General features: G+C 39.9%; 2 protein-coding genes and 1 pseudogene across 12 annotated transcripts in view; 2 read left to right on the top strand and 1 right to left on the bottom strand.

Moving 5' to 3' along the window:
- Nucleotides 1-13505, bottom strand: part of KLRG1 (killer cell lectin like receptor G1) — a 265527-nt gene that overhangs the window by 51711 nt on the left and 200311 nt on the right. The gene's annotated exons all lie outside the window — the stretch shown is intronic.
- PZP (PZP alpha-2-macroglobulin like) overlaps nucleotides 1-13505 on the top strand; it is a 71924-nt gene that overhangs the window by 44536 nt on the left and 13883 nt on the right. For 5 of the 10 annotated variants that reach the window (XM_017019763.2, XM_047429276.1, XM_047429275.1 and 2 more), the window contains 14 exons: nucleotides 71-192; nucleotides 1212-1263; nucleotides 2744-2827; nucleotides 3370-3546; nucleotides 3835-3922; nucleotides 5284-5440; nucleotides 6019-6093; nucleotides 6505-6685; nucleotides 9021-9244; nucleotides 10517-10735; nucleotides 10909-11036; nucleotides 11550-11640; nucleotides 12188-12256; nucleotides 13114-13216. In XM_017019763.2, coding sequence (XP_016875252.1) covers nucleotides 71-192; nucleotides 1212-1263; nucleotides 2744-2827; nucleotides 3370-3546; nucleotides 3835-3922; nucleotides 5284-5440; nucleotides 6019-6093; nucleotides 6505-6685; nucleotides 9021-9244; nucleotides 10517-10735; nucleotides 10909-11036; nucleotides 11550-11640; nucleotides 12188-12256; nucleotides 13114-13216 — 1770 coding nt within the window. Of the gene's footprint in view, nucleotides 1-70; nucleotides 193-1211; nucleotides 1264-1415; nucleotides 1580-2743; nucleotides 2829-3369; nucleotides 3547-3834; nucleotides 3923-5283; nucleotides 5441-6018; nucleotides 6094-6504; nucleotides 6686-9020; nucleotides 9245-10516; nucleotides 10736-10908; nucleotides 11037-11549; nucleotides 11641-12187; nucleotides 12257-13113; nucleotides 13217-13505 lie in introns of those variants that run through there. The other 5 variants (XM_047429274.1, XM_024449111.1, XM_011520806.2 and 2 more) reach the window with 4 other exon arrangements.
- On the top strand, nucleotides 7322-8349 carry TPT1P12 (TPT1 pseudogene 12; annotated as a pseudogene).

Here is a 13505-nt window from a genome sequence, read left to right as displayed (position 1 = left end):
AAGGTGCAGCCCTTAAAGGTGATTGGACTATCAAAGTGGATACTCATGTTTTCAATATTCCTTGTTTTAGGGAATGTGAACTTCTCAGTGAGTGCAGAGGCAATGCAGTCCTTAGAACTCTGTGGAAATGAGGTTGTTGAGGTCCCTGAGATTAAAAGAAAAGACACAGTCATCAAAACCCTGTTGGTGGAGGTAACATATTTTTGGGAGTCCCTAACAACTGTAAGAATGCAACACCGGGCGGTCACTCTTGAGACAACAAAGAACCATTAATATCATGCTCACACAATACATCCTGTAAGACTAATGGAATTTCCTGCCCTAAAAGCATTGCAGCAGACAACATTGCCAGCTATTGTAAATTTTTTTTCACAAATTATTTGAGTGCAATTTCCTTTTTTTTTTTTGAGACGGAGTTTTGCTCTGTTGCACAGGCTGAAGTGCAGTGTTGCGATCTCGGCTCACTGAAAGCTCTGCCTCCCGGGTTCATGCCATTCTCCTGCCTCAGCCTCCCGAGTAGCTGGGACTACAGGCGCCTGGCTAATTTTTTTTTTTTTTTTTTTGTATTTTTAGTAGAGACGGGGTTTCACCATGTTAGCCAGGATGGTCTCAATCTCCTGACCTCGTGATCCTCCCTTCTCGGCCTCCCAAAGTGCTGGGATTACATTGAGCGCAATTTCTTGATCTCCACCTCTCTCCTAAGATTCACATATCTCTCATACCCATTAGCTTTGATTTACTGCCCTTATTATCTCTTCCCATTTTCTCTCTACCACCCTCCCTGGTTCTTCAATGTTTTATGGATTTGTAATAATTCAATAACAAGTAGGATGTTATGTTCTCACTTATAAGTGGGAGCTGAATGATGCAAACACATAGACACATGGAGGCGAGCAACATATATGGGGCCTGTCTGAGAGTGGGAGTGACAGAAGGGAGAGCATCAGGAAGAATAGCTAGTGGATGCTGGGCTTAATCCCTAGGTGATGGGATGATCTGTGCAGCAAACCACCATGGCACACATTTACCTATGTAACAAACCTGCACCTCCTGCACATGTCCCCTTGAACTTAAAACAAAAGTTGGGAAAAAAAGAGTAGGATGGTAAACATCATTCGTGTAAACCCTACCCATCAAAGAAAGGAATCCATGTGGTTCTCTTGTCACCAGGATGTTTCTATCTTTTCTCCTTTTCTTTCCTTTCATCCAAGGCTGAAGGTATTGAGCAAGAAAAGACTTTCAGTTCTATGACCTGTGCCTCAGGTAAGAGTCCATCTTCATAATCATAGTGAGATCAAAACCACAAAGGGGTATAAACCTCAAGTTACAATGCACATTCATTTTATCTCCCAGTTTTCAGAGTGTTCCATGAAAGTCAGCATAATACTAAATATTTCTTTATGTATGTTTTACAGATGAAGACATTGAGCCCAAGAGAGCAAGTTAATGTGACTCAGGTGGTACAGACAGGACTAATACCTGGGCTTTCTTGGTTCATACGTAGCCCTTTTACCTGGATAGCCCAGTGGCTGCTCACTGACAAGCCCAGCTGCAGAAGCTTAGAGTGTCCCAGGATGAGGTAGAAAGAGAGCAGGGTTAGCCGGGTGTGGTGGCTCACATTTGTAATCCCAGCATTTTGGGAGGCTGAGGCGGGAGGATGACTTGAGGTCAGGGGTTTGAGAACAGCCTGGCCAACATGGTGAAACCCTGTCTCTACGAAAAAAACAAAAATTAGCCAGGCCTGGTGGCGGGCGCCTGTAGTCCCAGCTACATGGGGGGCTGGGGCACGAGAATCGCTTGAGCCGGGCAGGGGGAGGTTGCAGTGAGCCGAAATCACACCACTGCGCTCCAACCTGGGCAACAGAGTGAGACTCTTAAAAAAACAAACAAGCAAACAACAACAACAACAAAAACTAAAGACAGCAGGGTCATGATAAGTTTGAATCCCAAGAGATAGTCTCTAAAACAGCTGCTGACAAAACATATAGCATTTCCTACCCATCTCACTAAAAATGTGTGTTTTCCGTGTAGAAAATAATTTACATTTAAGTTCATCATATCATTAAGAAGTAGTTGTAGCTTTTATACAGAACCGCCACATTATTAGTTCTATGTCCACAGTGTATACAGCACTGTATTTGTCATTTGAGAAGGACTAATTTAAGGTATATTCATGTTATCTATTTATAAACATGGGAATCCATTCAAATATAGTGTAAGGGAGGCAGTAAAATAACTTGTATTATCATGGTTATAAGTCTTAATATTGCTACAAAAGTGGAGAGCGATAGTTCCCCCACTAAGTCTTAGGCTTCTTTTAGAAAGCTACTGAGCACAGCCATGCAAAAATATAGTTAAATGAGAAGAGGAAGGACTCTGGAAGTCACACAGTGCCAAAAGCAATTAGACTATCAAAGGTAGTCTCATCATTAAGTCAAATTCTTATTCCTTGCACCCAGAGTTCCACAAGGAGATATAATAATATTACTGCTAACTCTAATAATAAAATAACTGCAATAATAACAATTGCTCACATTCGTTGAAATTGAATATGTTGCAGATACTGTTCTGAATGTTTTACATGTGTTTTTTCCTCAAATCATCACAATTTACCCAAGGTCACAAAGCAGGGCCAGTACCATATCCAGGGAGTGTGGCTCTGAAGCTCTCACTACATTATAATCACTAAATTATATTGTAATCATAGATGTCCTCCTTTAACATGGGCTGTCTGTTTCTAAAGGTGCTAATGTGTCTGAGCAGTTGTCCTTGAAGCTCCCATCAAATGTGGTCAAAGAATCTGCCAGAGCTTCTTTCTCAGTTCTGGGTGAGTCACCTTCCATTTAGTAAACCTGGGCCAAAAGAGTTGCCACTGTACATCTTATCTACGTATTTGTATTTGAATTATCAAGTTCTTGATAGCTGCTATTCTTTTTTATTTTTTTGAGATGGAGTCTCGCTCTGTCGCCCAGGCTGGAGTACAGTGACGTGATCTCGGCTCACTGCAAGCTCCGCCTCCTGGGTTCACGCCATTCTCCTGCCTCAGCCTCCCGAGTAGCTGGGACTACAGGCGCCCGCCACCACGCCCGGCTAATTTTTTTGTATTTTTAGTAGAGACGGGGTTTCACCGTGTTCACCAGGATGGTCTCGATATCCTGACCTCATGATCCGCCCGCCTCGGCCTCCCAAAGTGCTGGGATTACAGGCGATAGCTGCTATTCTTATTAGGATTCTGGAAGTCACACTCTGTGTATATAACTTTTCTCTTACCTAAATGATAGACTCTGAATATAAAGGCCATTTTTGTTAATAATGTTGGCTATTTATGAACTGAAATTATTCTGACATCTAATCTTTCACATTCCCCAGGTGACATATTAGGTTCTGCTATGCAAAATATACAAAATCTCCTCCAGATGCCATATGGCTGTGGAGAACAGAACATGGTCCTATTTGCTCCTAACATCTATGTCTTGAACTATCTGAATGAAACCCAGCAGCTGACGCAGGAGATCAAGGCCAAGGCCGTTGGCTATCTCATCACTGGTAAGTGAGACAGAGAAAAATTTACTTTGTTACTCTAATGAAACTTTTCCCAATTAAGCTTCAGTTATATCATCAAATATTAACCCATGATGATAATTTTTATGAAAACAACAATCTTCCCACACTCTAATAGGATGTTGTGTTTGATCTATCCATAACATTCACAAAACTATGGCAGATCACAGAAGGTCATAAAATGTCCATGGCGCCTGGATGCATGAGCCTAAACATATGGATGGCCTGCCTTTCTTTAATGCTTCATGAACAATCTGAAGCCTTCCATTTCAGGTTACCAGAGACAGCTGAACTACAAACACCAAGATGGCTCCTACAGCACCTTTGGGGAACGATATGGCAGGAACCAGGGCAACACTTGGTAAGAAAGAAAATCTATTCTGAGTTTCAACTATGAGTTCAGAACGTGCACATAGATTACCTGTCTTAGTCCATTTTCTGTTGCTTATAACAGAATACCTGAAACTAGGTAATTTATAAAGAAAAGAAATTTATTTCTTATAGCTATGAAGGCTGATAAGTCAAAAGTCTAGGGGCCGCATCTAGTTGAGAGTCTTCTTGCTGGTGTGGACTCTGAGGAGTCCCACGGTGATGCAGGGCATCATATGACTAGAGGATTGAATGGGCTCACTTGGGTCTCTCCTTCTCTTCTTTTCTTTTCTTTGTTTTACTTTGTAGAGACTGGGCTAGCATCTCCTCCTCTTCTTATGAAGCCACCAGTCCAACTGTCATGATAGCCCTTTAATCTAGGAATAGATTCATCCATTCATGAGAGCAGAACCCTCATGAGCCAATCACCTCTTAAAGGCTCCACCTCTCAATACTACCACATTGGGGATTAAGTTTTAACATGAGTTTTGGTGGAGAAACAATTTCTAAACCATAATGTTACCTTATTTAATTCTTATAGCTACCCTGGGAAGTGAGAGTTATTAGCTTCATTTTACAGAGGAGAAAACATATTCAGTGTGGATAAATAAATGTGTCAGGAGCAAACATCTAATAAGTGGCAAAATTGAGAACACTTTTAGGTTGATTTTTTTAATCCAATATACCCAGACCCTCTTCCTTCTCATGTTGCTAAGGGAACATTATAGGTTTGTAACTTGCCCCCTTAAATTGTTGCTCAGCCCTAAGAGGTGTTAGAAAAATGCTAGAATAAAACCACAACCATTACTGGCAGAGCATACCTTACTACCTTCTACTAGATGATATCCTTTCTCTCTCTCTCTTTGTAGTTTTACCACACAGGCAAACACAGGGGAAAAAAGTGGAAGGGCAGGATGATGGAGGGAAATATTTACTGAAGCAGAACATTAGAAGTTAGCTGATTAGAGTTAAAACTACAGAAAGTAAGCTAAGAAATCTAGGAAAGGAAATAAATTCATAGAGCCCACAGTGTAAAAGCAAATGACTTAGTTAACCAACCAAGAAAACTGGAAGGAACCTGAACCTCTGAAGTGGCATAGAAATGCTTTAGGAAGCAAGGACAAGCTGGTAATGAATTGAACAACATGTGGCAGCAAAAAAAAAAAAAAAAAGAAAAGAAAAGAAAAAAGAAAAAGAGATGTCTAAGCTAAAAAGAAAAAGTCTCCAAACTCTCAGTAACAGCTGATTGACTTTCTTGGGTGCACACTGTGATGGGGGAGCCTGTGTGTACAAAACAGAGCAGTAAAGTGCTCAATGAAAAGAGCCTCAGCACTGCATTTTTCCTCCCCCTAGGCTCACAGCTTTTGTACTGAAGACTTTCGCCCAGGCTCGATCCTACATCTTCATTGATGAAGCACACATTACCCAATCTCTCACGTGGCTCTCCCAGATGCAGAAGGACAATGGCTGTTTCAGGAGCTCTGGGTCACTGCTCAACAATGCCATAAAGGTGAACTGTTCCACAAACTTCTGAGCCTGACACACATCAACATAACATCCCCCAGGGGTGAAGGGAGGAAGGAGGCACAAGGAAATTGCAAAGATGAAGTCCTGGATGATGTGGGATGGCATCAGGGAAAGAGTATTACACTTTCTACAGAGAAGGAAGAAATTGGGCCAGATGCAGTGGATCACACGTAGAATCACAGCACTTTGGGAGGCCAAGGCAGGTGGATCACTTGAGCCCAGGAGTATAAGACTAGCCTGGGCAACATAGCAAGACCCAGTCTCTACAAAAAACATTTTACAAAATTAGCCAGGCATGGTGGCCTGTGCCTGTAGTTGCAGCTACTTGACAAGCTGAGGCAGCAAAATTGCTTGAGCCTAGGAGCTTGAGGCTGTCATGTGTGATAGTGCTACTGCACTCCAGCCTGAGCTACAGAGCAAGAACCTGTCGAGAGAGAGAGAGAGAAGGAAATGGTATACTTTGAATGGAAACAGATACTGAGGAGCGTTTCCATCAAACAACAGAAGAGAATATACTAACACTTGGCACTGGAATTAATCAAATCAATGTTGTATTCACAGGGAGGTGTAGAAGATGAAGCGACCCTCTCCGCCTATGTTACTATTGCCCTTCTGGAAATTCCTCTCCCAGTCACTGTAGGTACCAGCTCAATCCCATTCCCTACCATGAAAACTGTAGATTTGCTGTCTGGAATGCCACCCTGCTAAGGGTTGAGTCTCAAGTATCTTTTGGTTCAATGATGAGGGATTTCTCAGACTGATAAGCTCTTTGGTTGATGCATTAAGAGAGATTTACACTTGCCCAGTAATGCCCATAGACTATGTATCAAAACCAATCCTAAAAACAGGTTCTCTAGTCTTATTCTTTAAGACTGAACTATAAAGGGAAGAGATCGAAATATTTTTCTATTTAAATATGATGAATATCTAGCTGTCTGCCTATCTGTCTGAAATCTATTAATAACATCTGACTGTCAATATCCAGCTCTCAGCTTGCTCTGCCCTCTATTCACCCTAGTTTGACACAACCACATTTTGCCTTTACAGAACCCTATTGTTCGCAATGCCCTGTTCTGCCTGGAGTCAGCCTGGAATGTAGCAAAGGAGGGGACCCATGGGAGCCATGTCTACACCAAGGCATTGCTGGCCTATGCTTTTTCCCTACTGGGAAAGCAAAATCAGAATAGAGAAATACTGAACTCACTTGATAAGGAAGCTGTGAAAGAAGGTGAGAGCACTTATAAGTGGGAGCTGAACAATGAGAACACATAGACACAGGGAGGGGAACAGCACACATTGGGGCCTGTCTGGGAGGTGCGGAGAGGGAGAGCATCAGGATAGATAGCTAATGCATGGGGGACCTAATAACCAGGTGATGGGCTGATACATGCAGCAAACCACCATGGCACACCTATGTAACAAACCTGCACATCCTGCACATGTACCCCAGAACTTAAAATAAAATAACATTTAAAAAATAAATAAATAAATAGATAAATAATAAAAGTTTTTTTAAAAACTGTGCAAAAAAAGGTGAGAGCAAACAGCAAATGGTACCAAATTTCCATTTCCATTTACACTGATTCTACAAAAAGAAGAAATATATTCCTTCTGAAATCCACAAGCTTCATCTGTAATTCCTTAGCCAAGTCATACATTGTGAGATCAGAGCACCTCTTATAAAACTGTCTTCTCTGGGATTGCATATGTTACACAGAGCAGAACATAATAGACATAATGCTGCAGATAAATAATGCAGTTTTATTTCTACTTGCTAAAACCAATATAATAGACAAATAGATTCATTTTCTCATGATTTCTCTCTACTTACTTGAATGAAAAGAGGTACAACAGCTCTTCCATACCCCCTAAATTCCCACCCAATGCCGTCCTGGCTGCACCATGCTCACTTCATGCTCTGGGCTTCTCCTAAGCTAGTGCTGCTATAGTCTCCTTTCAGCTACCATCATAATTATCTACCAGGATCTCATCAGCCACGCTGAGATGTTCTCTGACATTTACAAGATCCAGAGATGGAGGAAGGACTGTGCCTGGAGGTGGAGGGGAAGATGGTCAGTAGGACAAAGGGTGACATTGATGACTCGCTTATTGGTGGAGATGCCTTCACTGAAGTTTCCCAAAGCGAAGGTACTGGAAGCAGAGTAATCATTGGTGTTGATATTGTCATGAACAATCACTTGCAGGAACTGACTTCACAAAAGAAGCCTACAAGAAGTACATCAAAGCTGACATAAAATCAAAGACAAACTTAAAGAACAGAGACCAGAAACAGTAAAACCTTTTATAACAGGAGCTGCAGAACAAATCAAGCACACTCTTTCTAATCTCAGAAACTACCAGTTCTTCATTTGATCTTAGCCAAAAGGTCAAGAAGCAATAAAAACTACCAGTTCTTTATTGGTGAAAACATGAACCCATATGGCATGCTGCCTCTGCTGGACTACCATGAGGATGGTGTGACTCCATAGATGATTTTCCATGGTTTAGAAATGGAAAAATGTTAACAAATTTGGCAGTTACTTTGGATGTATCACCTGTCATAACTGGCTTCTGCTTGTCATCCATACAACACCAGGACTTAGACAAGTAGAACTGATGTCATCTTGAGATCTTCATTTATTTTGACCATGATTTATTTGGAGCAGAGGCATTGTTTTTAAGGAAAAAATGTCATAGAGGTTGTCTAAAAACAAAATGCATTCAAACTCATTTGAAAGAGTGTCATTTAGTTTAGTACATATTTAAACTCAATCTATCTTGTAGTGTTCTTGGAGAAACTAGAGTCTGGTTGTAGACCACTACTAGAAAGAACACAACTGCCATGAGATAACTTCTACAGTGGAAACTATTTCTGAGTATGGAGTACAAAAACAACAACAACAACAACAATAACAACAACAAAAAACAAAACAAGAATCAAAAGTTTTAATTCTGAGTTGAATTAGCAGGAAAGAACATGCTTATAGCAGTGCCAACATTTGAAGTGGTGCCTTATACATTTCATCACCTACAATGGAAGTAGTTAACTCTGGAAGAGGTTACAAAACAACAAAAACGGACTGATTCAGTTGGAGAGAAAAAAAAAGAAAGAAAAGAGGTACAACAAACAGAAAATGCAATAACATTTTCAAACTATTTTTATCTCTATTTGCCAGAGAGAGCATCACAAAAGTCACATGAGGTCAATAGTTAAGTTTTATATTCTAGTCTATACTGCAATTCTCAGAAAATATCACGAACAATAAAAGAACTCTCTCTACCACTTTTCTCTTTCATCAGTCCAACTAAAATAACATTGGAGAGATTGGTGAGTATGCTCTATGCTTCTTCCTCCATCAACCTACCCTACCTTCGTACCACAGGACTAAATCAAGTTCAGCATAGAAGTGTGAGTTAGTGAGTTTTAGGAGTTTATGACATAGAAGACCTTGCTTCTCCTGTATTATTTTCAGCTCCATGTATTATGAATGTGCATTCTCTTATCTACCAGTTATAATTACTTATTGATGAGTTACAATTATCTCCTTTTTCTCACCCTTAAGACAACCTCGTCCATTGGGAGCGCCCTCAGAGACCCAAGGCACCAGTGGGGCATCTTTACCAAACCCAGGCTCCCTCTGCTGAGGTGGAGATGACATCCTATGTGCTCCTCGCTTATCTCACGGCCCAGCCAGCCCCCACCTCAGGGGACCTGACCTCTGCAACTAACATTGTGAAGTGGATCATGAAGCAGCAGAACGCCCAAGGTGGTTTCTCCTCCACCCAGGTCAGTGGTTCCCAAAGAGTCTTCTGCTCCAGGTTCACTTGGCAATTGGGAGGCTTAAAAGTAGAACAGTTAATGGAAAAGAGAAGGCAATTATTAAATCATTGAAGAAGTATTTAGGAATATTTGAGGACCATGAGAATTTAAAGGAAAGACTTAAGACATCCCCCATAACACTTTTCACTAAGCCCTATGTTAATATATTAGCAACATGGAGACGTACAACGAGCATCTTTACCCTCTAAAGCCACGCTATGGTCATTGGACACATTCTAGACCAGAGTTTTTCAGCATCAACACTATTGACATTTCGAGCCACATCATCGTTGTAAAAGGAACTATCCTCAGCCTTATAAAATATTCAATAGTATCCCTGGCCTCTCCCCATTAGATGCCAGTAGCACGTCACTTCCAGTTGAAACAAGAAAAAATTTCCTCCAGTTGGGAACCAATGTTCCAGACATCTTCAGAATCTAACAAGAAATCCTCTAAGATGTATTCCCCAAAAAATGTGTGATTAAAAGTACAGTGACTAAGTAGAATCCACTTTGATCTTTTTGGAATGAGAAGTTCCATTTCAACTACTCCAAGGAACTCAGCTTCTTCATTCCTTTCTACTTTCCCTGAGAGTGCTCTTCTTACTTTCTCTTTAAGTTGATCTTTTTTAAGCTGAAGCTCTTGAAAATGTATTTTTCTAGCATAATTCTAAAAGTATTTTATCGAGAGTATAAATGATTGTATTAAACACCCAGAGTGTCTGGCTTTTCCCTCCTACATGTCTTCTTTCAACAGTTAGGATCTCCATAGTGAAACTTTTGTTTTTCAGAGAGATTAGGTGGGGTAAATAAAAACAAGCTAGATGAAGGTAAAAAGAAACTCAAGAAAGTGCAACTTGTCTCATACCATTTTCATGTACAGTAAATTTTTATCACTCTTCCATCTAACTGGTCAATCATCTACTTAAAAATGGTCACTATTTTTGTCTTAACTTCTTAGTTTTAGACCTATTCTTTGAAGGACATATCCAAAAGGACTGTCAATGAAAATAAACAGTGACATTAATAAACATTATTAGCCTTTTATTTCATTTGGAGAAACTGCAGCATGATTTTGATAATGTCTGAAAGGCAGAGAAAAAGGAAAGGTAATTAGTGAAGATCTACCTTAGGGGTAAAAAGCCAGCTTCCCTCATGGTAGGCTAACACAGACTTTGGGGGAAAATCCCAGATGCCAAAAATTTACTCTTTGGGGCGGTTGTCCACTCGTCTCTTCCAGGACACAGTGGTGGCTCTCCATGCCCTGTCCAGGTATGGAGCAGCCACTTTCACCAGAACTGAGAAAACTGCACAGGTCACCGTTCAGGATTCACAGACCTTTTCTACAAATTTCCAAGTAGACAACAACAACCTCCTATTACTGCAGCAGATCTCATTGCCAGAGCTCCCTGGAGAATATGTCATAACAGTAACTGGGGAAAGATGTGTGTATCTTCAGGTAGGGCTCCAAGCTTATATGGGTGAGAGTCAACTTTAAACTTGCCAATTGAAATGGAAACTCTGTTCCTTCCTTCCTGGGAAAGTAAAAGGCACCTCTGGAGACGTTAAGTAATGAGGAAGTGAGGGGTCCAGAAAAAGAGAGAAACTGATAGTGTCTTTGCTGTTTCACAGACATCCATGAAATACAATATTCTTCCAGAGAAAGAGGACTCCCCATTTGCTTTAAAAGTGCAGACTGTGCCCCAAACTTGCGATGGACACAAAGCCCACACCAGCTTTCAGATCTCACTGACCATCAGGTAAGACGTTCTAACCTAATCACCTATCTTTGGCCCAAAAGCAACTTGGAATTAACAGAAATTAATAGTCCATTTGGAAGCTATGTTATTAGATTAATATAATTTAGAATTGATATATCTATAAATGAATTTAGGCTTTTATCATTATGACGTGATCCTTTCTCTACTAAAAATATAAAAGTAATATATACTAAATAACAAATGAACTGTATAGTGAGGTGTGCAAAAACCATAGATATGTTAAAAATGCCAATTAGCAAGATTCACTACCAAAGATTTTGATTTGATAGTTTTGGGGTGATGCTTAAACATCTGTAATTTTAGCAAGTGGTAGATCTGATGTATATGCATGTGTCCAATGTCAGTGTTGCACAAGTCCAGGGAACACAGACCTTTGTAGAATATTAGGGACAACTTCTTGAAGACAGACAGGCTTAAAGTGATGCTTGAAAGCAGAAATTTGGCTTTCTTTCACGTATAAAACCCTAAATTCTTTTTCCTTTGACACTACAGTTACACAGGAAACCGTCCTGCTTCCAATATGGTGATTGTTGATGTAAAGATGGTATCTGGTTTTATTCCCCTGAAACCAACAGTAAAAATGGTAGGTGTATTTTAATCCTAATAGACTTCATACAAAAGTATGTTCTGTATCCCCAAACTAAGACCATACCAATATCAAAACCATGTCAACATCATCCTGCCTCAAAAAAATATTTTTCCCAAACCCAGGAAGTAAATGAACTATTTAGTTGGCCGTAAGCTAAGGGACATATGTGATACCAGAGAAATGCACAAGGAGTACCTATCCTTAGGCCACTCATAGTTTAGTCAGGAATTTAAAGCACATGGGCACAAAACAATAAAACCACCCAAGAAAGATAGGATATGGTTTAAATCCCAAACTGACTGATATGCACTAAAAATTTGGGAAGGAAAAAAAATCAACGTGAACTAAAATTATCAAAGATGCCAGAGGCTCTAATGTGTTACTTGGATATTGAAGAATTGTGGAACTCCTGACCTGAAAACAATTAGCTTTCTTCTCTTCAGAGAATGACCATTTGTCCCTTATTACAATCTGCTCTAGATCTCACACCATTCTCACATCTGTTCTCTAACTTTAACTGAAGTTTTCTAATTCTCTCCAGCTTGAAAGATCTAGCTCTGTGAGCCGGACAGAAGTGAGCAACAACCATGTCCTCATTTATGTGGAACAGGTGAGGGCTCTGACATCCTGGCTGAGACTACATATGGGTCGTCTTTCTAAGTGAGTCTCTTTACTAGAATAGTCGGTAACATGAGGAAAACAATCATTAGTAATGCCCTTCCAGAAAGGTTTATCTATTCCAAGAAGAATAAGAGGGGAAACCTTTGAACTCCATGTAGTGTTCTGTTCTATTTTTAATTGTGTTAAAATTGGAATATGAATATTTCTATGAAATTTAAAGTACAAAATCAATAGAAAAAAGGTGTACCATGTATTCCTGTTGTTTTAAAGGCCCCACTCCCTGACGATATGAATAAATATTAAACTTGAAGTGATAAATCAATAGGACTAAAGGTTATCATGCATTCCTGTTATTTTAAAGACCACCTCCACAAAATGAATAAATATGACCCCAGTGGTTGCCTAATGATAATGTTAACATTCTAAAATGTCACCATAAAATAAAATGAGGATTTTATGAATATTATCAAATATGACCATAAAACAAAGAAAATGTTTTATGTATCCAAACAGAAAGAATACTTCGTTGTTTTAATTACAGATTGTATGAAACCATGTTTCTCCAGCTTAGAACACATTCACATGGGCCCAGAGAGTTAATCTCATAACAAGGGACTACAAAAGAATAGGGTTGGCTCAGTTGTTTAGAAGAAAATCTGTGAAAATTTGTTGACTGTAAATAGAGTTCCCAAGGATGCATTCTAAAACCCATCTTGACATCCACAAATGTCTGGTCACCTAAAGACACTGGTGAAAAAGAGTCAAAGAACAATAAGAATATGTTTTGCTCATGGGAGAAAGAAGGAGGTTTTCTAGGTTCTTGATTACTCCCACTTTTCCTTTCAGGTGACAAATCAGACGCTAAGTTTTTCCTTCATGGTTCTGCAAGACATCCCAGTAGGAGACTTGAAGCCAGCAATTGTTAAAGTCTATGATTACTATGAGACAGGTGAGTGAAAGAAAAATGAAACAATCTTAACCAGAGCCAAGAAATGGATCCTGTTGTGACAGTTGATCCTCTTCTTAGCCCACTTAGTCAACATTAATCTTTTGTTTCTTTCCTCCAAGATGTACACTATAAAAACGACTTACTACAGTCTGGCCAACATAGCAAAACCCCATCTCTACTAAAAATACAAAAAATTAGCTGGGTGTGGTGGTGTGTGCCTGTAATCCCAGCTACTATGGAGGCTGAGGCAGGAGAATCGTGTAAGCCTGGGAGGCAGAGGTTGCAGTGA

Source organism: Homo sapiens, chromosome 12 (genome assembly GCF_000001405.40).
Source record: "Homo sapiens chromosome 12, GRCh38.p14 Primary Assembly".
Classification (NCBI taxonomy): Eukaryota; Metazoa; Chordata; class Mammalia; order Primates; family Hominidae; genus Homo; species Homo sapiens.
Note: the sequence above shows the minus strand (reverse complement) of the source record. Positions and strands in the feature narration are given on the sequence as shown.